Below are 24,656 nucleotides of genomic sequence, written 5' to 3'. Positions count from 1 at the left end.
CCTACCTAGGGCATGGCAGTAAGGGGTTTCACTGGAGAGTCCAGAGCTACCCAGGAAGTAATATTTTTCTTCAAAGTAGCTGATGGAAACAAAAGAGCTCACTACTCTGAAAATAGTGTTGCAATTAAGGGAAAATCCTACAGAAATATAGCCTATAAACTCTCAGCTAAAACATGCTCTTCACTCATTTATATAAGTTGGACCTAACAAAGAGCATTTAGATAGTAAGCTGTACCTATAACATATGTCTCTTAACCAGCAAAAAGAAAATAGCATCAAAATACAAACAGAATCATTGGATTTCAGCAATCATGTAATATGTTCTCACTTCATTTTATAAATGGGGAAAAGAAGGGTAAACCACTGTCCCAAAAACAAATAGCAGAGCCAGAACCCTAAATCAGTGATCTCAGTGTGATTCACGGATTGGTCCCACTCAAAACTGTGACCAGTCTGCAGTAAGATCAATTATAGAAACTGAGAATAAGGACTTAAAAACTTTTATGCTGGTTTGATATCATAATGTCATCCAAGTGTCTGATTTCATTTTAGCCTGCAAGAGGTTGAAAATGAAAATTCAATTTTCATCTTCGATAGTCTGAGGAGCACTGCTGGACATCAGCCCTTTTGGGCCCAGGATACTGGTGTCTGTACAGAATATTCATGTTCTCATCCAATCTATGATGATACCACATAATCCACTCGAGAAGAATGTTGATATCAAAACATAAAGTCATTCATATTTCTATTATCAAAAGTTTCATATGGGAGAAGAAAGAAATCACTGGGCAGTTTCAGAACTACATAGCATTGTCTGTGTTGGGGATGGATTTTTACACTTTTAAAAATATGTTGGCTCCTTTATTATTTTCAAAGATTAGAAGCAGAAGCAAGGAATTTCTTTTTTATTAATAGAAATCTTTAATCTCAAGTCTGCAATCACTTTTTAATAATGACAGAAAAGAAAAGAAGGAATAATTATTGTTTTTTTTCTCCAACTTTAATTGCAATTTATTGTTCCATCTACTTCACTATCATCTTTCCAGTGATTCCGACAGTTCAACAGCCCTGGAATGTCCTTTTAGAAATCCCATTGCTTCTTCCAGTCTGATCTGCCTTATGATTGGGCCTAAAGTTGGAGGTGCTGTTCTTACATGTTCTAGATTGGCTTTTCCCCAGCTCATCTTCCCTGGTTGATAGAAAGATGGCAAAGTTAGCTATGCAAGTGGCTCTAACTCTTCCTAGAGCCAAATCTGGTTTGTACACTCCACAATATTGCATCCTACAGCCACATCTCAACTTAAAGTGACATAAGGTGCTTCTCATGTTTGATCTAAACAAGCACCTTAAATGAAACCAAGAAATACGTCCATCTATATTACATACAGTTTTTTTCCTTTTGACTTCTCCACCTGAATCTTAGCTTAGGTGTGGTCAAGAATTTTCCTGCTAAGATAAGAAAATATATTCAATATATATTCAATTCTTAATGAACTATAGGAAATTAGAAGATGAATACTTTTTTATGTTTGTTTTTTAACTTTGTTACTCTTTTATTTGGCTTGAGAACAGATCTTGTCTGATTCATTTATAACCAGCAGCTCAGCCCCACATCCCATGTACTCTTTTACCTTAAATCATTCTATGATCGTCTTATACTTTTTTTTTTCAGTTGCTACAGGACCTTGTACAAGTTAAGTGCTCAGTAAGTAAAGTATAAACAGAAGATAACTATTGTATATGATCATTGTGCTTTTTGTCTCCTACTGTTTAGAACTGCTGAGTTATTTTGTGTCCATAAACTCCAGTTTATCATCCTAGCCCTCAATTTGAATTCTTCTTTATCAATCCAGCTTCAGTATTATATGATGTAAAGTTCTGTGCCACAGAATGCAAACATTGTACAGAACATCATTCCTCCCCTTGAAAAACATAAAATTTAATACTAGTTCTATATCAATCAAATGCTACATTTTGGAGTCAAGACCAACTACACAGAAGAGGTCTTCAAAATCATCAGCTCTTTGACCAGTTATACTTCTAATCAAGAATATGTCTTAAACAAATGGGGAAATATTTCTAAGATATCTCTGTAAAGATTGATACAGCTAACTCATTGCCATCATTATTAGAAAATAAAGGAAGTCAAAGTACATTTCATAACTACTAGATAATTTTACTCACATTTTTGATTTCTGGTGTTGTAAAAACCTACATCACTGCTTAATCTGTTCATTCAAGAAATGTTTATTGCACACAAAATCTGCAGGGAATACAAAAACAAATAAGACACAATCCCTTAAAATATATGGACTGATTTCTAAAGTGGGCAATTGAGCTGTTTGTGCATTTGGCTTAATATCATGGTTTTGTTGGAGTCTTCAGTACTACCTTGAATTCCTGGTTAAAGATACTCCAGATAAGCTTTTTCTTCATTAGAATAATGTTTCCTACATAGGAGCCTCTTACAATTTGAAGGCCACAGCATTTACTAATTTTTCAGGCATATATCCACAAGCCTAGTCTTCAATATATTACCAAGGGCTTTTTTTCATCACCGTCAATGTAAAAAGTCAACACTGTGGCATAAAATAAAGAACACTGAAAATGGCAATCACCCACATGTCTCAACAACTAACACACACCAGCTTGGTATCTTTGCTGTTATCTAAATTACAGTATCGGCAGCTTCACTAACATTCTTGATGTGTAAAATGCTTTACTCTTGGGCAACTTGTTCAAAGCTGTCTTTCTCTAATTTGAGGCAATTCCCCCTTTTCAAGTTTTAAAAAATTAATCATCATAGCCATGACTACAAGATAGTAAAGAATCGTAGCAGCTGTCTGAACACTGAAAATGATACAAACCTAAGCACTAAAGTTTTTCTGCAAAGGGAACTTCCCTGTGTCACAAAGTTTAAATAAAATTAAATTAAGTTTGGTTTTACTTATCAGCAGTATTTGAAAAGAAGGCAAATTCCATTCCCCCATCTTCATTCAGAAGTTCCCACCTATGTCATTCTATATGCCCATGCTCCTTTATGACACCAAAGCGACTAGCACTGTTTAAATGAAAAGCCAACCTAGTCTAGCTATAACTTTTCCTCTTAAAACATGCCCTAAGTTTAAGAAAGCAGTAGTCAGCAGAAGCAACATCCCTTCCTGTAGCCCTGCACCAGTGAAGGCATTAAATATCTTCTCATGATGAAGAGGTATATATTGTCCTAAAACTCTTCATCCTTCTGAGAAATGTTAGGCTGTAAATGCAGAGACTGTAAACGCGGGACAGCCTAGTTAGATTTCAAGTTTTTTTTGTGGAGGTAAACATAACAGTTTATAACTTCACTGTATTAATGATGTGATGATATCTTACTGAAACATATTTTGTACCAACATAAAACACCAAATTTTAAATAATATTAATGTGAGCTATTTTGACAATAAATGAGGGAAAATTCTGGAAACTCTTTCTTTTTAATAGGTATGCCTGTTGGGAGAAAATGGGACAACTCCTAGCGAACTGGATTGAAGCCTCAATCGATATTGAATTTTGTTTCATCTTATCCCATATGACACCAGCAGTTAAAATCAAGAGCTGTTATTGTATCGTGCTCTCCCTCCCACACATTATTTGCACTGCTTCACTAATTAAGTTCACAGCAATATTGATTATATCAAGATCTTATCCTAAAACCTTCCATGGTTTCCAACTTTGCAATGAATTACATTTTTACCTCAATATTCTTTTATTCTCCAAACTCAACTCTCCAGTCCAAAAATCTCCTGTTTACAGTCTATCCTACATACTCAGGCAAAGCAGTGGACTTATTCTCCCTTAGAAGTGTCATGGAGTTCCTGATATTTCTCATCATCGCCCCAATCATTTCACCTGTAAAACTTGAAAACATCTATCAAGATCCATTTGGCTAACCAAATATGATCCTTTCAACCTGTTGATCCCCACGGTCATTTCCAACTTCCATTTTCACCTATTCACTATGCCACCTGGTTTAAGAATAAGTAGGTCCTTTTCCCAATTGATTGCAGCTACCTCGCTTTTGTTCTGCTTGTCTTTGTTTTTTATTGTGGTAGAATAAACAAAATCTACCATGTCAGCCATTAATACATGAATAATTCAGTGGCATTAAGTACATCCACATAGTTGCACAATCACTACCACCATCCATCTCCAGAACTTTTAGTCCTCCTGAGTCGCAACTCTTTACTCATTAAATTATACCCATTTCTCCCTCCTTCCAGCCTCTGGTAACTAACTGCTCTTCTACTTTTTGTCTCTATGAATTTGACTACTCTAGCCATCTCACGTAAGTGGAATTGTACAGTAATTGTCCTTTTGTGCCTGGCCTATTTCACTTAGCATAACGTCCTCAAGGTTCATCATATTGTAGCATGTGTCAGAATGTCTGTGGTGTCAGCACAGTGCTTGTGAACTCAGTAAGTGGCCCATAAATATGCCTTGAATTTAACTCTTCATCTCAGAATGAAATACAGATATCATTTAATTTTATCAATAGGTTTATCAAGCTTTTTTCCCCAGAAGGGCTGGAAAGTAGACATTTAAAAAATTTATTACTGCTCTAGCCAAATATTCTGCTTGGGTGTGCCAATCTTTCTGCTTCTGCATCTACAACACCTTTACCATACTTTTGCTCCATATCCTTGAAACCTGAATTCAGCAACCTGGCACATGTATAGAATTTGATCCCTACAGTTTTTATCTCTTGACCATTCTAAAATAAAGCAAAACAAAAAAATGTAGTTTTCTATAATTCTCTTGGGATCTGTGACAAATACAATTAGTTTTAGCTGATTTAGCCATTGTCCTTCATTTTACTTCTCTACCTGCCTATCAGTGCTTTAGCTAGGAGTGGCTTTATGACACTTCTAGCCAACAAGGCATAATTGAATATTGGCTAAGCAGATATTATTGGGTTAAAAAAAATATTACTTTTCTAATCAAGGTAATAGATTCAGTGGGCAAATATATTTGGCTTTTGTTCCCCTTTGGCTTTACTGAAGCCTTTAACATGGGCAAAATTCAGGACATTGATGTAATCAGGCCATGATGCTGGAAGTTCGGCAGCTATTTTGAGACCATGAGGCCAAAGCCGAAGTGCCATGGATGTTTGCAACTTTTCAGTAGCAATTCATTCCTAGAGTATTTGTCTCAGCCTTCTTTTCTAAAAGGCAAATAAACCTCAATTTTTTCAAGCTCTTAATAGATAGATTTGCTCTTGCTTATAGCCAAGAATCTGTATTTGTTAATCACAATGCTCAATTACATTGTACCTAAGCCAACAAATGGAAGAAATGGAGTTTTGAAATCCACCTTGAAATTCAGGAACTTTGCCACCAAACTATTACTGATATAAGCCAGTGGTTTGAAAACATATATAGATGTGTGGATGTATGCATATTTGCTTATATATATATACACACACACACACATGTGGGGCCATAGCTGTTTGAGACTTGGACTTTATTTGTTTGAAGTCATTATGCCCTGCAATTTACGAAAGGAAGTTAAAACTTTTAGAGGCAAGAAAGGGAAATGAGGCAGGGCTAAAGTAGAGAAAAGGCTTGATAGGAAAAAATGATTTTTCAAAGCTTCAGCCAGAAACACTGCTTAGCACTGGCAGCCTGGGAATATCAAAATGGAAACGCTGAGGAGAGCTACTAAGTGATTCACACTCACAATAAGCATTTCCCAGATGTACAGCAGAAAATTCTAAAAAAGCAAAAACACATAAAAACAAAACCAATCGTCCTCTTAAAGCTGAGTTCCCAGAGCTAAATTACATTATCTCCTTTGTAAGTGTCCTCTTGTGTGTAGATCCACTATAAAAATAGACTGGTTGAGGTTCGCACTTTTAGTTTTATTCATGGCATGTAAACATTTTTTGCATCACTTGGCACCTGCAGCACATGACAAGGATCTTGTAAGCACTAAGAACACTATTTCACTGCATAGCCATCTTGACAGCATTTCTAGACATCCTGGTCACCAACAGTTATGGTGGTCAATGACCACGTGTTCTAGCTGGAACTCTGCCAAAGGGAAGACCTGAGAAAGATCTTTTCATCTCTAATTCAGAAGAGTTTTCAAATCACACACAGAAAAATCTGACTTTTGCCAAACCAAGATCTGTTTATCAGTTAAAAGATTATTTTATTTACTCCAATAGCTGGCACATGATTCTAGGATGTGCAGTTGAGGAGACACTTGTCCTTGAGACCTTCCTGATGACCAGAGAGAAAAAGGGAGAGGAATTTGCCTCTCTTGTACATAAGCTCCTTCACACAAATTGTATCCATCCTGCTCCCTAGTCAAAAAGGTTCTGTAAAGACTGTCTTGGTGTTGAAGAGGTAAACTACCCTAAAAGTGAAATTAAAGAAATAACACTGCTGGCCACAATGACAATATAAATAGCATCTTAGACAGTATTTCACACCTCTCAAGTGTCCTCTGAATTCATCTCATCATTACCTCTATTTGATGGATGAGGAGTCTGTGACTCAAAGAGGTTGATTTATGATGCTCATATAGCCACTAAGTTGTAAAGAAGGAATCTGGGTTCTAGATTCTGCAAATTCACTAACAGCACTGAGAGTAGCTATGTCTATAATTTCCCAAAGGCCATAAGGAGATTTAGAAGTAATCTCTTTCATATCCTTCCTTATCATAGTTTGAATACTTGCTCATCATGGAAGCATCTTTTATTTATTCTGTCACTGATGGGAGATCGAGACCCTATGGCTATGGAATCACCTGTCTGCAGCTCACTTGTGGCTAAAATAGAGAAATGTAGCCAGGCACAGTGACATGCATCTATAGTTCCAGCTGCTCGGGAGGCTGAGGCAGGTGGATTGCTTGAGCCCAGGAGTTCGAATCCAGCCTGAGTGACACAGAAAGATCTCATCTCAAAATAAAATGGAAAGGAGTTTAGAACAGAAGAGCTGTAAGGGGGAGGGGTGAAGAGCAAGTTGAAGAAGAAGAGGATAATAGGAAAGGATGGGAGAAGAAGGACATGTGAGGGGGAAGAGTTTTGGGACATGGCTGTCTTAGGGGTCTGTTCCTCTCTTTAGGGTTAAAGTTAGTCTCACTTCCTCATTCCAAACTAGCCAAGGATAGGTATTATATTGAACATGCTGAGTACAATGGTAAAAGTTGGGAGAACCATTCAACACAGTAAGCGTTTAAAACCAAGGCCAATTTGGGGGATCGGACCATCATAAATTAAGAACTAATTGATGTGAATTTACATAAAGAACCTTGGAACTTTAAGGAAGAATATAATCAGTTTTTGAAACTGAATAAATTCAATCATAGACTACAGGAAACATGTTCCTAAACCATGCTATATTATGAGGACTTAAGTAGATATCTAAAACCATATATCCAGAAGCTCAATGAATAGGTACTTTACATATAACACACAAACTCCTAATCTGCCATGTCATCCTGGAAATTGTGTATATAAACATGCATTTAAAGAGCATCAGTTGGTTAACTCTATCTGCAGTTCTCCCTTTACGAAATGATTTGAAGTTCATATTGAATTCATGTTCCTAACACATACGAGGCACAGACATTTGAAAATGAATGATGCACAATTTCATTATTAAACACTCAGCAGGCTACAAAGGCAACTGCATTTCATTAATAATAAATAATAAAAAATGAAAATGCAGTAAAATATTGTCATATCAAACACCTCTGTATTGCTACTTTTATGCACGAAACATCTTACCTTCCCAAGAGAAAACGTCCCTGCCTGATTGTAAGTTAGGTATTTACTAAAGAAAATAAACTCTTTCAGATGAGTCAAATAAACAGAAGCCTCAACTGCTGTGCCTCATTATATTTAAAAGTATTTTTTTGGGAAATGATTTCAAACAGAGAAAGGTTGCATAAATAGTACAAAGAAAATGCAAGAATATATCTTTTCCCTAGATTCACCTACTATATTTTGCCCTATTTACTTTAATAAAATGTACTGCTCTGTCTAGATCTAGATTTATTTGTCCATCTAACTATCTAAAAACATTTTTTTCCTGAACCGTCCAAGAGTGAAATTGGTAAATCATGGTTCTTTATCCCTAATAACTTCAGTATGAGTTTTCCAGGAATAAGGATATTCACGTATTAGACTATAGTACAGTTATCAATATCAGTAAATCTAACATTGATACAATAATCTAGAATTAGTACTCCAATTTTGCCATTTAACCCCATAATAATAATAGCATTTTCCATCTTGCCATACAGCATCCAGTTACAGTGCATTTAATTGTTATGTCACTTTTGTCCCCCTTAACCTGGAACATGTCTTTGGTTTTTGTCTTTTGTGATATTGACATTTTTTAAAAATATAGGCTTGTTTTATTGAAGAATGCTCTTTATTTTGAATTTATCTAATGTTTCCTTGTGATCAAATTCAGATTATGCATGATTCGTGGCTGGAACATACATAAGTTATGTTATGTCCTTCTCAGAGAATCATATCCATAGGCACATGATATCCAGCTGCGCCTCTATCCATAGGCACATGATATCCACCTGCGCCTCATTGTTGATGTTCATCACCTGATCAAATTGTTATCTAATGTTTCCATTGTATAGTTACAATTTTTCAGCTTGCAACTAAAAAGCAATTTATGAAGAGATGCCTCAAAACTATGCAAATATCTTGCTCCTCATCAAACTCTCTTCCCTAGATTTGTCCATTGATATTTCTGTATTTTGATTTCCAATAATTCCAGCCTCCATCCATATTTACCCTATTATATGTTTCATTATTTATGTGGGAAGCCAAGTTGGAGCAGAAAACACACTCAACACCCTTTATTACTTAGTAGCAATTTGATCACAGATAAGTCACTGACCTTCTCTGAATCTAAATTTTAACATTAATATCTTTAATGTTTAAAACATGTCTTTGTTTTTAATTTAACCATTACAAGAATGCCAACAATATTTTTGAGAAAATTAAGACAATGATTCACTTGAAAACAATGGTTACTTGCTTATTGCTTTTGAAAGTGGAACATTTTATAAAGATATAAGGTGTTATCAAATGTAAGCATTTGCTTAAATGTAGCTCTAATGACAATGATGGAGAAGCATCATAGCACTCTCCAGCATTAAGAGCATTTTGGCATACACTAACTCATTTTTATCTAATGGGAATTCTGTGCATTAGGTAGAACAGGAATTACCCCCATTTTACAGATGGGGATTTGACCCTAAGTATTTCTTATGACCACTGACCCAGTGTTTTCCCCATACCCTACATGCCGTTTTACAAATACATACATAAAACACACTCACACACAAATTTCAGATGCACATCCTTGTGGGTATTGTCAGTTGACAAGCTAATACCTAATTCCAGAAGTTTGCTGTAGGTTAGTTCCAATGGTGGCTAGAAAAAACTTGTGGTAGAAAATGACTAGCAATGGAGAGGAGAGGGATACTTTGATAACTGGCTCCTGATGCTTTTCACATTCAGATTAGAAAGTGGTAATGAGGATTTGAACAGATCATGAATTATTCTTCTTTACAGATTAACCCCCCCAACCCAGCATACATAAAACTAAACAGAGTAATACTGGGAGATTGGGAGGTGGCATTGCTGAAAGGGGCCAGAGAGGCAGTTTGTAAATTTAAGTGGGGTGGCCAGAGCAGACTCGATTGAACTTTTGAACAAAGTCTGGAAGGAGGTGTGGCTATGTGAGGAAAGAGTGTTCCCAACAGGTGGAATGCGGAGTGGAAAAGAGTTGAAGAAAGGCCAAATCTGAGGTCCGGCAAAGAGGCCACTGTGGCTGAAGCAGTCTGAACCAGAAAAGTAACAGGAGAGGCAATCAAAGACAGGGGGGTGCCTGGAAAGATCACAGAGGGCCTTAGAGGCCACTGTGAGGACTTAGGAGAATTTTTAAATGGTTTGGTGTTGTGGGAAGTCAGGGACCAAGAAAGGAGGTACCGGCTGAAGCTGCGGCAAAGAACATAAATTGTGAAGATTTCATGGACGTTTATTAGTTCCCCAAATTAATACTTTTATAATTTCTTACACCTGTCTTTACTGCAATCTCTGAATATAAATTCTGAAGATTTCATGGACATTTATCACTTTCTCAATCAATACTCTTATAACTTCCTATGCCTGTCTTTAATCTCTTAATCCTGTCATCTTCGTAAGCTGAGGATGTATGTCTCCTCAGGACCCTGTGATGATTGCATTATCCATATAAATTGTTTGTAAAACATTTGTGTTTGAACAATATGAAATCTGGGCACCCTGAAAAGGAACAGGATAACAGCGATTTTCAGGGAACAAGGGAGATAACCATAAAGTCTGACTGCCTGCGGGGTGGGGCAGAACAGAGTCATATTTCTCTTCTTGCAGAAAGCGAATAGGAGAAATATTGCTGAATTATTTTCCCAGCAAGAAATAACCCTGGGAAAGGAATGCATTCCCAGGGGGCAGTCTCTAAATGGCTGCTCTGAGAGTGTCTGTCTTATGCAGTTGAAGATAAGGGATGAAATACACCCTGTTCTCCTGCAGTGATCTCAGGCTTGCTAGGATTAGGAAATTCCAGCCTGGCAAATTCTAGTCAGACCAGTTGTCTGCTCTCGAACCCTGTTTCCTGTTAAGATGTTTATCAATGACAATGCATGCCCAGTGGGACATGGAACCTCATCAGTAATTCTAATTTCGCTCTAGCCTTGTGATCTTGCTCTGCATCTCTGCCCTTGTGATCTTTTATTGCCCTTTCAAGCATGTGATCTTTGTGACTTACTCCCTGCTCGTACCCACCTCCCCTTTCGAAATCCCTAATAAAAACTTGCTGGTTTTGTGGCTCAGGGGGCATCACGGAACCTGCCAATACATGATGTCACCCCCGGAGGCCCAGCTGTAAAATTTCTCTCTTTGTACTCTTTCTCTTCTCAACACTTAGGGTCGACACTTAGGGAAAAATAGAAAAGAACCTACGTTGAAATACTGGGGGCTGTTTCCCCCGATAGTTTGGGGCACAGGAGTCACATAACCTGACTTATATTTTAATAGAATCAGTAGAGTTTTTGTCCTATGTCATAAGCCTGGTTTTGTTAAATATGATACTATTAAGTGGCATCTGGGTAGTTCATCATCCACTAGTCCTCATTTTCTCCTTCTGATGATTTTCCATTGAATAACAAAATTAATTAATTGTGTGTGTGTGTGCATACAATTTGGAATATACACCTCTTAAGCCATCGCTGCCAGAATTCTTTAATTCTTCAACACTGTACTGTATTTATAAAAATTTCAAAAGCCTCATTCCTTTTCTTTAATACATTATGCTGTATTTATTTTCATATTGGTATCATATCCTGGACCATGAGTTCCTGGCAGGTAGTCCCATGCATTTTTTAAACTCTCAGAATCCAAAATAGTTTCTGGGTCACAGAATGGACCTTATAATAGAGATGGGCTATATCTGTCATAAGTCCACACAGTATATTATATTACAAGTCATAGAAAAGGTTATGTTCTGCTAATAGTTAAGCACATTATAAGGTACTTTGCAGTGTAGTTTTCACACATAAACCAGCAAAAGTTTACTCATTGTTAAAGCAATCTGTGGAAATAGTGGCTCTTTCACAGAAAGGAGGAAAAAAAATTCAGCAGGGTGAATCTGACCCTGACATTTAGGTGAAAAATTGTAACAGGGAGAAGATAAGTCTTCCTTTTTTTCTTGTTTTTTTTTTTCTGTAGACACTATGCCATCTTATAATGTGGCAAAGGGCAACTGCAGTGAAGTGACTGGCATGATCTCTTTTCACCTGACCCAACATAGCAGTGGATTCTCTTCTGTCATCCTTGCCATCATAGATGTATAACTGTGACCAATCATATTAAGGCAATTTTTATGTGTGTTTGTGTGTCTGTGTGTATGTCTGTGTGTTTAACATTCTCTCCACTGTAGAATCATGGTTTGCAGTTTAAAATATTTTGTTATTTGCAATTTTAAAAAATTCCAGAGAAAAATATTATCTACTAAGCAAAGGTTTAAAAGCTTTAAGGAGGACACAGTATCAAATTATAATAAGTACTAAATGGTGGGGTTAAATTATATTTCATTAATGTATTAATTTACTTTGCAACTATTTTACAAATATTTACTGAATGACTCCTATATTCCAGGAACTAACCATAAGAGCTGGGATAAAGTGATGAAAAAAAGAAAGTCTACTCTCATGAGTGATATTTTCCAGGTGGATGAGATGGAATAAACAAGTAACCAAAAAATAAGATTATTTCAGGTAGTATCATACACATATTCATTTGGTTTGTATATGTTTTATATATATTTGGCAATAGATCTTACCTTTTATTTTTCTCTACGTTTTCTTTTTCTTTTTTAGACAGGGACTCCCTCTGTTGCCCAGGCTGGAGTGCAGTGGCACAATCTCGGCTCACTGCAGCCTCCACCTCCCGGGTTCAAGTGATTCTCATGCCTCAGCCTCCCGAGTAGCTGGGACTACAGGCTTGTGCCACCATGCCTGGCTCAGTTTTGTATTTTTAGCAGAGATGGGGTTTCACCATGTTGCCCAAGTTGGTCTTGAACTCCTGACCTCAAGTGATCCACCCTCCTCGACCTCCCAAAGTGCTGGGATTACAGGCGTGAGCCACCATGCCAGGCCTCTACGTTTTCTTAATTTAACTTTATTTATCATGGCTATAATTCCTCTATTATGTTAAAAATCAATCTCATACAACTCATTTAATTGTCAATGGGTTGCATGTCATCGGTTTCCATTTCTGTATTGAGTTTTACAAAAATAATCATATTTTTATATAATATGGGTGACTATTTTTGTAAAACTAAATATCTTGTTCAATTTTGCTCATCCCTACTTTACAGATAAGAAAGTAGAGACTGCAAAGTTGATATGAACATCTTTTCCCAAGGGTGAGCCACTTGTCTCCCTCCCTAACCCTTCCCATATGACTTACACAAATATAATTTTGGTTGTTGCCTGATGTCAGATTTAAATAGCATGCTAGGAATACTCTCAGCTTATAGCTAAGAGTGTATTAATAACTATAATAGCTTTTTAAATTGTGTCAGTCTTCATAAACTCTCACCAATCAAAGTCTTAATCTCCTTTCCACCGTTTTTCTAATTGAACTCTTCTCCATGAAGTCACAGTTTGTCACACAAATTTGATAGCTTGTTTAGAATAGTTTCTTTGATTTTTGTTTTTCTGGATTCTTAACAGTTGTTCTACCTGGCTTGCTCCATCTGTTTTTTTTCAAGTTTGTCTTTCATTTCTTTTCTTTCTCAGAATTTCTTCAAATATTTCAATAGATAGCCTGCCTTTGCCATGCTTGTATTGGATAATATTCCATGTTATTTTCAAATTTTTTGAGCCAACATTTTATTTGTTCATTTCTGGCATTTGAAGCACTCTTTAATGACATGGTTGGCCGGAGATTCTTTGCCATAGACCTTAACTACTACACAACTGCAACTAACCATTTTTTTGGGGTTTCTGCCACTATCGATTCCTAGTCTCTTGGTGTCATCAGTCTTAATTAGGTTGATTTGCTGTTCAGCACAAAGGGCCTCCACCAACTTGACATACAAAGCTCATTACAGTTGAATGTAAACACAGAGATGGGCGTGGCTTTTGTCTAAGACTGTGACTACTTTACAAATTCCCCATGGTAGCCGTCATGGATGAGGGTGGTCTTCAGCTCCTCTTGCAAAGCAGTGTTAATGTCCACTACGCCTCCAGCAGCAATGCCTTCCTTGGGCATGGCAGTGAGTTACGGGTGAATCCCAATTTTCAATGCCTCCTCACATTAAGGCAACTTGGCAGTGAAAGAGCCAAAGAAATTCTAACAAATGTTATGAGACAGAGTGGTGTGATAGAAACTCAAATGGCTAATCAGGTGGTTTGGGAAATGCTAGTTTAAAGAAATCTTAACAGATATTTTTACTGCAGTGTTTCTCAGAACCTAAGATACACTAATCAACCATGGGGCTCTTCAGAAAGGTTGTATATATTATATTTCATAAATTCAAAGGCATGTCTTTTCATTTTTTTTTTAAATAAACTTTGATATGGAGATGCTTCTTACAGTAGAAGCAGAGTCTAATTGGCAGTATATTTTTCTTAGGAGTACATTAAAACAGTCTATATTATAATCAAAAGCATCTTAGATTTAATGAAATGCATTGATAGTCAGGGCCTTCCCAGCTTATTTGACTATGCAGCTTTTTAAAATAATAAAATATCTCTTTAAATATGTAGCAATAGAACTTTTTTTGGTAAATACAGTGTCAAAACCACATTTTCCAAATCTATTTATTTTAGAACAATAACATTTTATCTTGAATTTGGAAATCCCCAAGATGTCTACATAGGCAGAAGAGATGGGGAAAGGGGGATTCCTACAATCTTCAATTTTCAAAAGAGTTTAAAAAGTCTCCCATAGCTTTGTTACTCATTCAAAATGGAATTTGATAACAGCCATGCAAACAAAAATCAAAACTTGATGTTTTTCACAGGAGTGGTATCAAGGGGTTTTGTAGGAGGGGTCTTTTAGAGCCTCTTTTATCTCCATCAGCACATGCACTGCCTATCAATCCCTACTAAAGCCATCACAAACAAATATAAAATCTAAATAAAGTATAGTGACCACTTTCAGTAGCAGTCCCTTACCCTTTTTTCCACCCACCAGGAGCCCCCGCCCCATTCCCTATTTCTACCTCTATGAAGCAATTCTGGAGCTACCACTAATAAGCACTCAACGGCCCCAAAGCTGAGTCCTCAAACAGCAGAGCCTTATGAGAGAAATAAAACTAAACTACAACTTCCATTTAGTGAACAAGAATAAAGACTGCCACTACTCAAGCAGTCTGGGGATTATTGCTATTGTTTTATTTGGGGCCCACTTCCCTAGTCCCAGCCAGTGTTTATCAGCACAGAGAACTTCAGAAACAACGAATATACTTTTGCTAAGCATATTTATCACCATCCAACTCAATGTAAAATTCAACTTTGGCCAGATGGGAGATGCTGAATCAAGATAGTGAGTGGGACCTGCACTTTCTGGTAATCTGATCATGGAGTCAGAATGTATTTAAGGATGCCCAGTTCACATAAAAATTATGCCTAAGGATGTTCAATGCATTGTGAACATCCCTCAACAGTTCCCTGTCTGTGATAAAACATTTGTTCAGGTACTTAATGCCAGTGAATAGGCAGCAAACCAAGAGAAGCCAAGCGCACTTCTGCAGCAGAAGAGTGACCTTTTTCCCCATTTTTTCCTCATTAAGTTTATAAACTTACCTTATCAGAGGTTGAGATCACTGTTACAGCAATCTCAAGGGTGGAATGTGTTAACAGAGAAAATAAAAAAGCCAAACTAATGGCAAAGAAGAAAAATGAGAACCCATGGCTAAGAGATATACCTGGGCAATCAGAGGGGAAGAGAAGACAGTGAGAGTCAGATCTTCCATACACTTTTATTTTTTGCTTGTCTAGAGGGAGCACCAAACTGATTCTGCTGTTATGTCTTCACTATTTTTCCTAAGGTAGGATAATTCTCCAAAAGGATTCAATTAAATAAAACTTTTAAATTTTAAAAAATCAAGAGATGATTCCTCTCAAATTCTCAAATCAATACTGAGGCAAACTGCCTGATGATGTGTCTACATAAATGGGAGGGAGACATCAGGTCTGCAAGCTCTTTCTGTAAGAAAATAGTAGTATCTCATTGCAACAGAAAAATTTTGGGCCAGGCGCAGTGACTCACGCCTGTAATCCCAGCACTTTGGGAGGCCAAGGCGGGCGGATCACGAGGTCAGGAGATTGAGACCATCCTGGCTAACATGGTGAAACCCTGTCTCTACTAAAAATACTAAAATTAGCTGGGCATAGTGGCGGTTGCCTGTAGTCCCAGCTACTCGGGAGGCTGAGGCGGAGAATGGCGTGAGGCAGAGCTGGCAGTGAGCCGAGATCGCGCCACTGCACTCCAGCCTGTGCGACAGAGCAAGACTCTGCCTCAAAAAAGAAAAAAAATTTTGCCAGTGCACAGATTGGCAGTGGGGGGCAAAGTGGTGTTTCCTCAATGCCAAATTATCTAACTCTCTAATTACAGTGTTTCTTTAACGTGGCCTTCCTGGAAACCAAACTTGGGTTTTATAGTGCAGTGATAAAAAAAGATAAACAGTCAAATCTAAGCTCATACACCTTTATTCAGTGAGTTATTCATGCAACAAATATTTATGGTGCATCTATATATCACGGACTCTTCTAGGTGCTAAAAATCTGGCAATGAATAAAACACACAGAAGTTTATACTTTTCTGAAGCTGACATTCTATTACAGAGAGTCAGACAACAAGCAAACCGCTTATTTCTCTATCCTGAGTGATTTTAGAATATGGAGATAAATAAAGCAGGTAAAGGTATATGAAAAGCTAGGGGTAAAGGGAGTGGTGATACACATGTATTTTTTAATATACACATATATACATACACACACATGTGTGTGTGTGTGTGTGTGTGTGTGTCTGTGTGTGTGTAGACAGTTTGGTTGGGGAAGTTATTTCTGATGGAGTGACATTTCATCAGAGACCTGAATAAATAAACCAAACAGATAAATGAGGGTGGGAGTGGTAGGAAAAATGTTTGGGTTCTCTTAGCCTAAGAAATAGGTAAGAGGCCAGCACTGTTAGAATGCAGTAAATTAGGAGAGAAGAAGGTAACACAGAAGAGAAGCAAGGTTGTGTGGATATTTACAAAAGCTTCTTCTTTTACTTTGAATGAGATCCAAAACTTTTGGAAGGTTTGTAGCAGAAAAGCATGGCATGAATTTATATATATTTTATTTATTTATTTATTTATTTTGTATTTTTTAGTAGGGACGGGGTTTCACCGTGTTACCCAGGATGGTCTGGATCTCCTGACCTCATGATCCGCCCACCTTGGCCTCCCAAAGTGCTGGGATTACAGGTGTGAGCCACCGCGCCCGGCCATCTATACATTTTAAAACGTTTACTCTGGCTGCACGGTGGAGAACAGATTGTGGGGAGGCAGGGATATAAGCAGGTTTAGCTGTTAAAAATGTATTGCCATACCATAGGCAGGCAATTATGTAGGTCTGGACCAGGATTACAGAGACGGAAATGTGAAAAACAGTCAAGTAGAGCCATTGATATTTGCTGAAAAATTCTATGTGACAGGTGAGAAAAAAGGGGACAATCAAAGTTTTAGCTAAATCAGTGAGAAGGATGGAGTTGTTTTTTCTTTGTGATTGTGAAGACTGAAAGTAAAGCAGGTTTGGGGAAAATAATGACTTGTTTTGAACATGTTAACTTTGGAATTCCTATTTAACATCCAAAGTGAAAATGCAGTTTTTAGTTTTTTATAACCTGGAGTTCAGGTGAGAAGTCAACCATAGTGATACAAATTTGAGGATCATCATGATATAGGTGATATTTAAAGAAGCAAATTTATATATGCTCCTTAAAGAAATGAGTGAAGATAAAGATATCCAGAGATCCAAGGACTAAGCGCCAGAATCCCCTAGAATTGAAATAAGGGAAATCAAGCTGGCGAGATTGAGAAGGGGTAACCGGTAAGCAATGAGGGACACAAGAGAAGACTGTCTCACAATCCAAGTTTTAAGAAAGAAGAGTTGATCAAGGGTATCAAATGTTACCAAGATTTTAAAGTAAAATGAAAAATGGGAATGGTCCATTGGATCTGGCAACATAAAGATCTTTGATGACGTTGACAAAAATCATTTTGCTCGAGTAGTGGAGATGAAAACATGATTGAAGTGGCTTTAGGAGAGAACAGGAAGAAAGGAAGTGGAAACAGTGAGTAGAGACTTCTCGTTTACTGAGTTTGCTTTAAAATGGGGTGGAGATTAGGCAGTCACTGAAAATGAAATGGAGCCAAGAGCTTTTTTTCTCTTAAGATGGGAAGCATTGCAGCATGTCTGTATGCTGGTAGAAATAATTCAGTTGAAAAGGAAAAACATAACTGATGTTTCAGGAGAGCAACAATTGCTGCTTTGTATACAGAAGAGGTATGTGATCCAGTGCACAAGTAGAAGAGATGATCTTTGCTACGAAGGACCCTCATGATTCATCCACAGTAACATGAAAGAAAGAAGAGTATAAGGATATACATGTTGGTAGTATGGAAGGGTTGGGAGGTGTTATAGTGGGATCATTTTGAAGTTCTCTTTCCATTGATTCTCTGTTTTTAATGAAATAGTAAAGTTAACAGCTGGAATAAATATTGAAAGGCAGAAAGGAGAGAAAATGTACAAAATAGTCATCATTATGGAATGGGAGAATAAATAGACTAGAAAAATATAATAGGTTGCGTGGCAGCACCGAGAACCCACTTAAGGTAAGCGAGTGGTCATGCTGTTAAAATGAGACTGTTAAGCAGGATAGAGTGTTTTTCTCCAGCTCTGTTCAGGTGTGTACATGCAGGTAAAACAAAAGTCAATTGGATATACCATAATTAGGATTTTACCAGAGTCATTTAAAGAAAGAAGAGAGAGGGACAAGCGAGTTTATATAAGCAACGGTATAAGGATACAGACATTGGTAGTTTGGAACAGTTTTTCATGAAATAATGGCTTTTCACGAAATCTAAGCAGAGTATAAAGAGATGCTGGGACATGAGGAAAATGAGCAACAAAGAAAAAATAATAGATGCCATAGTTCATAATGAGATTTAAAGAAAGTGTTGGTATCAGAATGCTCAAAGTGTTGAGCTGCTAAAATAGGAACAAACGACCCAAAAGTAAGATGCCTGAGATAGGAATTATGAAGGGTTTTTAGTAATTGGTAATGAGAGAGTCTAGGATATGTCCTTTGCATGTGTGGCTGAGGCAAAATATGAATAAAATCAATGGAGGAGAAGAAGCCAAAGAATGGAGAGGCCACGGTGCAAAAATTTCCAAGAATATGGCAAGGTCAGTATGGGATACAGTGAATCAAGTAAGGAGAGGTAGTGAGTCACATAGTCCAAAGACCCACGAGACTCATAGAGGGGGGTTGCACAGAAGATGGAATGAGAATGATCTGAAACTACAATAAAGAAGGCCCACTGGCACCAGCAGTTATGCTCCCCCAGTTTGAGGTGGCTTAGAGGAAGTAGTGTCTTCTGGGGTATCCAAGTTTGAATTTGAGTAAAACAGTGAAACCAAAAAATTCAGGAAAATTTGAGGATAAAGGAGATTTTCTGTATGACCGAGTTCCAGAGGGCCCAAGGGAAGGGATTGGTTGTGGGGTCAGAAATGGGAGTGGACAAATCTGTGGGGAGTGCTAACCAGACAGTCCTGGGAGTCCTGCGGTAATAGGATTAGTTGCGAAGGTCTGCTGGGCATTAAAAACAACTGTGGTCACTTTAGCATGTGCTCCAGAATAGCCTGCCAAAACAAACTGGTTAATTTTTCTCTTTAAGGGGTTTGCTTTCTGATCATCTTTCAGAATGGCAAATACTAAACACCATCAGGTAATGCTGGACTAACCACTCACTGAAGAGTATCTACTGTTTAGTCTTTACCTTTTTACCTTCCTGTCACACACAACAGGCAGGAAACAGGGTGTCAAAGATGAGGAGGTTTGTTCGGCAACACATTTCTTTTTTAACCTCAGGAGTTATAAGATCATACATCTCTGCTCCGAAAGCACTGACTTGGACAGCTGGAATTGTGGTGACAAGAAACGTATGTTAATACTTTTTCATTTAACCAGAACAAGGTAATCTGAGCCAACCAAAAAGCATTTCTCTCTTCCCCGCTCACAACACTGAGGAATGTCAGAGGCCCTCAGGGAGTGAGGATGCTTTATGCGGAGTGGCCTGGGAAGGCCGGAAACCACTTATTGGCTTTACCACTCTAAACCTCTGAAACAGTCATGTCTCTTCTCAGACCTTTATATTTAGACTCCAGACATCCTTGAGTCACACTTGCTATATTAATACAGTTAAGGCATCAAATTATCATTATCGGTAGCAAAACTTCTCTCCCTGTTTTACGACACAGGTAGTTTCAATAAAAAGTTTTATACCAGAAAAGAGGAGCTGTGGGCCTCTATTTCACTTCACTACTCTTTTTCAAATCATGTCAGATGTTATTTCCTATGTCTGGAGTCTTTCTGGATTCTTCTTCTTCTTCTTCTTCTTCTTCTTCTTATTATTATTATTATTATTGGTGTATATGTTTACTTCTTAAGCAAGGTTAGAATTCCATCTTCATGTTCAGATTCTCTTCCACTATAATTGTTTTATTTGTTTGTTTGTTTGTTTTTTCCTGAGACAGAGTCTCACTCTGATGCCCAGGCTGGAGTATAGTGGTGCGATCACGGCTCACAGCAGCCTCAACCTCCCGGGTTCAAGAGATCTTCCCACCTCAGCCTCCCTATTAGTTGAGACTATGGGCACATCTCACCATGCCTGGCTAATTTTTGTATTTTTTGTAGATATGCTGTTTCACCATGTTGCCCCAGCTGGTCTTGAACTCCTGGGCTAAAACAATCTACCTGGCTTGGCCTCCCAAAGTGCTGGGATTACAGGCATGAGCCACTGTGCCCAGCTCTCTTCCATTATAATTTCACCATTACCAACCACCTCAGGTAATGGTTTATTTCAAAATTTGGTGAGTAAAGAAATACTTATCGTATAGTTAACATATACTGGTTGCTCACTATGGGCTGAGTACTTCACACTTTGCCTTTTCAATCTTTATAATAATTCTATGAGTTAAATAATAGTATTGCCCACATTTTACAGCTAAAGACACTGAAAACTTACGGTCACTGAAAACTTACGATCCAGGATCATATTGTTAGTAAGTAGAAGAGCAAAAATTTGAACCTGGATAGTCAGAGTCCAGATCGCACATTTTCTTAGCTACTACAACACATTGCCAGGTACTAAGTGAGGTGCCAGGGAATGAAGTTGAATAAGATGAATGACCTAAAAGAGTTCATAAGTTAGTATGGAACTGGATATTTTACACTAACAATATATCCCTATTCCTTGGCTCCCAAGTGTACATCCACATACAACAGTTTGAGTCTGAACCACAATAAACTTAACTAGCCATCTGCATTGATTTTTTTTACCCTTCTTGGCAAATCAATTTACAAGTGTCATGGAAGAAATATTAAGATTACAGAAATAGCTTTCTTCAGCTTTTCTCCCCATCTTCAAGGGGTAAGTAGCATTAGGAAAGACTGATAGCCAAAATATTTGCATTCAATATCAGAGGCAAAATCAAAAAGGACAGCTCTGCATTGTAATTCTTCCTACATAGACAAGTGACGAGAGAAACCAAGCTAGTCTAATCAGAGGAATATTTCCACTCAAGTGTCAATTCTTATGATCAAAAAACATAATTTTTTAACTTATTTATGGATTCACATTGGTAATTGCTATCTTGGAAAAGATCACCTTCCCAGTATAAGTAGTGTCCTTAAAATAAAAGGCATTGTTATTTTAACAGAATACATCATCTATGACCTTGTTGCCCTAGAGGCTGCTTGTGGGGCCTGAAAAGCCAGAGCACAGATGAAGGGTATATTTCCCCAAGTCATGCTCTTTGACAGTTACACCTGACCCATTGAACAAGTGAACAGGTTTTCTCATTTGCTTGTTTGATTTCCTGATCAGAGGCGTCATTCATAATATGTACATACAGATGAGCCTATGAGTATGTGTGGCTTGTTCATTAATCAACCCAGATGTTGTTAATTTGCTTAAATAGGGTTATAAAAAGAAATAGGAGAAAAAATAACAAATCCAGGATGTCTCATCTCTGGATTCTATATTAAAACTGTAAAGAACAACTTTGTTAGTTTAAACGGTGGTAGTATAGAAAGGGGATATAAACGAAAAATAAAATACTGAATTGCCACATATTTAGAGTCTGTGTTAAAATTGGAAAGATGTTAGATGACTTCATAATTTTGGTATTGCTTCTTCAAGTCAAAACAGCGTGTTGCTTCCAGGATTTTGGTGAACACAGCAGTGTGAGTTGCAGTGCTTCGGTGCTCATAGAAGAATTTCAAATACTTCAGAGCATTCGTTTTCATGGAACCCTTCCTCTCCCCCACACATAATGGGCACATTTCTTAAGTGAGGCAATTTAAATACTAAAGCAACAGACAAAACCTTGCAACACCAAAGAGGCAGGAAGTAGTAAGCGTTGAGGAAGAAATCAATACTGCACAAATCCATGCTTTTACATATACATTATTACATATGTGGGAGCATTCATGGCATTGTGTGCTGCAGAATAACTGCTCTCTGCCTCCATTTACTATCCATGAAGCAAACTGCCCAAGGAAGATGTTAGTCTTCTACTGAAGGTAGTTGATGGTTAACTGGAAATGAAATTTTCATTGTTTTTGACTAAGACAACATGGGAACTAAACGTCTTTCAAAAATTCCACATTTTACCTCCATGTTTGCCTTGTTTGTAGAAACATCTGGACTTTGTGAGAATTATAAGCCTTCAGAATGTCTTTATTAGGGGTATGATTCTATTCAAAACTGCAAGGAAATGCCTGTCTACTCACAATATTTACTCAACACTATGATACTGATTTTTCATCAGAAGTTTCCTGATTCCCCAGTTAAGGAAAAAAGAAAGAGATAGACAGGGAAGGAAAGAAAGAGATATACAGGGAAGGAAAGAAAGATAGAAGCTGTTCCTATGCTAGGCCCTGTTTTCTTTCAGGAAAGGAAGAGGAATCTGGTTCGACAGCCAACACAGAATGCCAAACACATGAGGTGATGTTAATAACAATAACAAAAAGACAAAAATGAACTCAGCACTTCCACCCAGGTGCCACATATGTGATGTCTGACCCAGATAGAGTCATTAGCTAAGGGAACAAAATAAACCTCTCTAGTTAAAGCAATAGGGCAGGGGCAGATATGATAAGAGTTAGCATAGTAGATTAAAAGATAAAGATTTCTGAATAATGTGCTGCTGACACTAATTTTCTGCAAAGTGGTAGAAAAAGCACTACTTCAGCTCTTTCTACATTATTTCTTCACTTGAGGATAATTGTGCCATTTTTACATACAAAGATGGCACTGTGAAGCTCTCTTCAGCATCCCCCACCCCTACTTCAGGATAATAACAGTACAGGGATCTATCCAAACCTCAAAACCAACCCCATTTCTGTAGGCTGGTAGGTTACAGCTAGAAGAGTACATTATTACCTTAGTAGAGAAAAAAGGTAGCACATACCATTGGTCCATTTAACACTATGCTCAAGCTTTCTGGACCACTTGACCAGGTAGGATGTTGATAAGTATTCAGCACTTACACTTCCTTGCTTCTCTTACAGGCTCACAATTTCCAGAGGTGTTGAAGAATGATTGCAGGAAAGTGACTATCATACTATGGAACCCAATCTACTACTTGTCAATGCCAGTGGAGAGCAGGGGGTCATATGACCTCTCCCCTTTCTGGATCTTTCTCTCATACTCACTTCCTCACAGGTGCAAGAGGTAAGAAAAAAATAAAATGAATTTCCACAAGGCAAATTACAAATGGCACTTTTTGCACATGATGTATCATATGGAGTATCGAGAGACACAGGAGAGAAGATTTAACACCTTATTTCATCTACGGTGGCACAGCATGTAGTTTAGAGCATTACTTTTGAATTATCTGAGGTGAAGCACCACTTATCTCCAATCCATCATGAATGGAAATGTGTTCCTACAGTTCCTGACTCATATGTAGTTCATGTCCCATGCAATTCCACACTACACTCAAAGTGGTCTATAGGTTTTTCAATAGGACAAGGCCAATCATCACACATTTACTTCCAGTTTCTGTATTTATCATAGACTAGTGACAAATAATTCACAAATTGGCATCAATCTGTGGACTACACTTTGAATACCACTGATTTTGACTATGGGATTTGAGCCTCACTGACCTGCCCTATTCCTGGCTCCATCCCTTGCTTACAAATGTGTGTGACATGGCAATTTACCTAATCCCTCTATGACTCAGTTTCGTTATCTATGAAATGGTAACAAAACAATACTTACCTCACAGGCTTGTTGTGATAATTAAAATTAGTTAAAACATGCAATGCAACTTACCACAATTAGAACAATACCAAGCACATTATAAGCATTACATTTTAGATTTTTTACAATTATGCCACTTTAACTTACATGGCTGGCTTTGCAACTGGTATACATCAAAATATGTACAGCAGCATATAAAAGATAGTAGAAAATACTGGCATTCCTTGCCATGCCAATAACCATATTTATAATAAGCTAATGTTATAAAAATTACAGGATATTTTTAAGAAATGTCCTGTACTTTTTATAACATGTTAGCTTATTATAGATGTACGTGTGTGTGTGTGTGTGTGTGTGTGAGATTCCCCTACTAAATACCTACTAGATTCTCACTATTCTTTATATTCTTTAACCTGGCTGAAAGACCTTGAATAATAGAGTACCCACTATTTATTTTAAGCTTCATAAAAGCCACAAATTTTCCTTCCCCTTTTCTCTTCTTGCAAATCCTCATACTTTTTTGCTCTTTCCCCCTGTCAGAAATGTCCTCCC

The 24,656-nt window shown here is 37.5% G+C and overlaps 1 protein-coding gene and 1 pseudogene across 12 annotated transcripts in view; both read right to left on the bottom strand.

Moving 5' to 3' along the window:
• The window catches only part of RBMS3 (RNA binding motif single stranded interacting protein 3), a 729,325-nt gene that overhangs the window by 605,720 nt on the left and 98,949 nt on the right, over positions 1-24,656 (bottom strand). The gene's annotated exons all lie outside the window — the stretch shown is intronic.
• On the bottom strand, positions 13,435-13,861 carry RPS12P5 (ribosomal protein S12 pseudogene 5; annotated as a pseudogene).

The sequence above is a fragment of the Homo sapiens genome, chromosome 3 (genome assembly GCF_000001405.40).
Source record: "Homo sapiens chromosome 3, GRCh38.p14 Primary Assembly".
NCBI lineage: Eukaryota > Metazoa > Chordata > Mammalia > Primates > Hominidae > Homo > Homo sapiens.
This window is presented reverse-complemented; position numbering and strand designations above follow the sequence as displayed.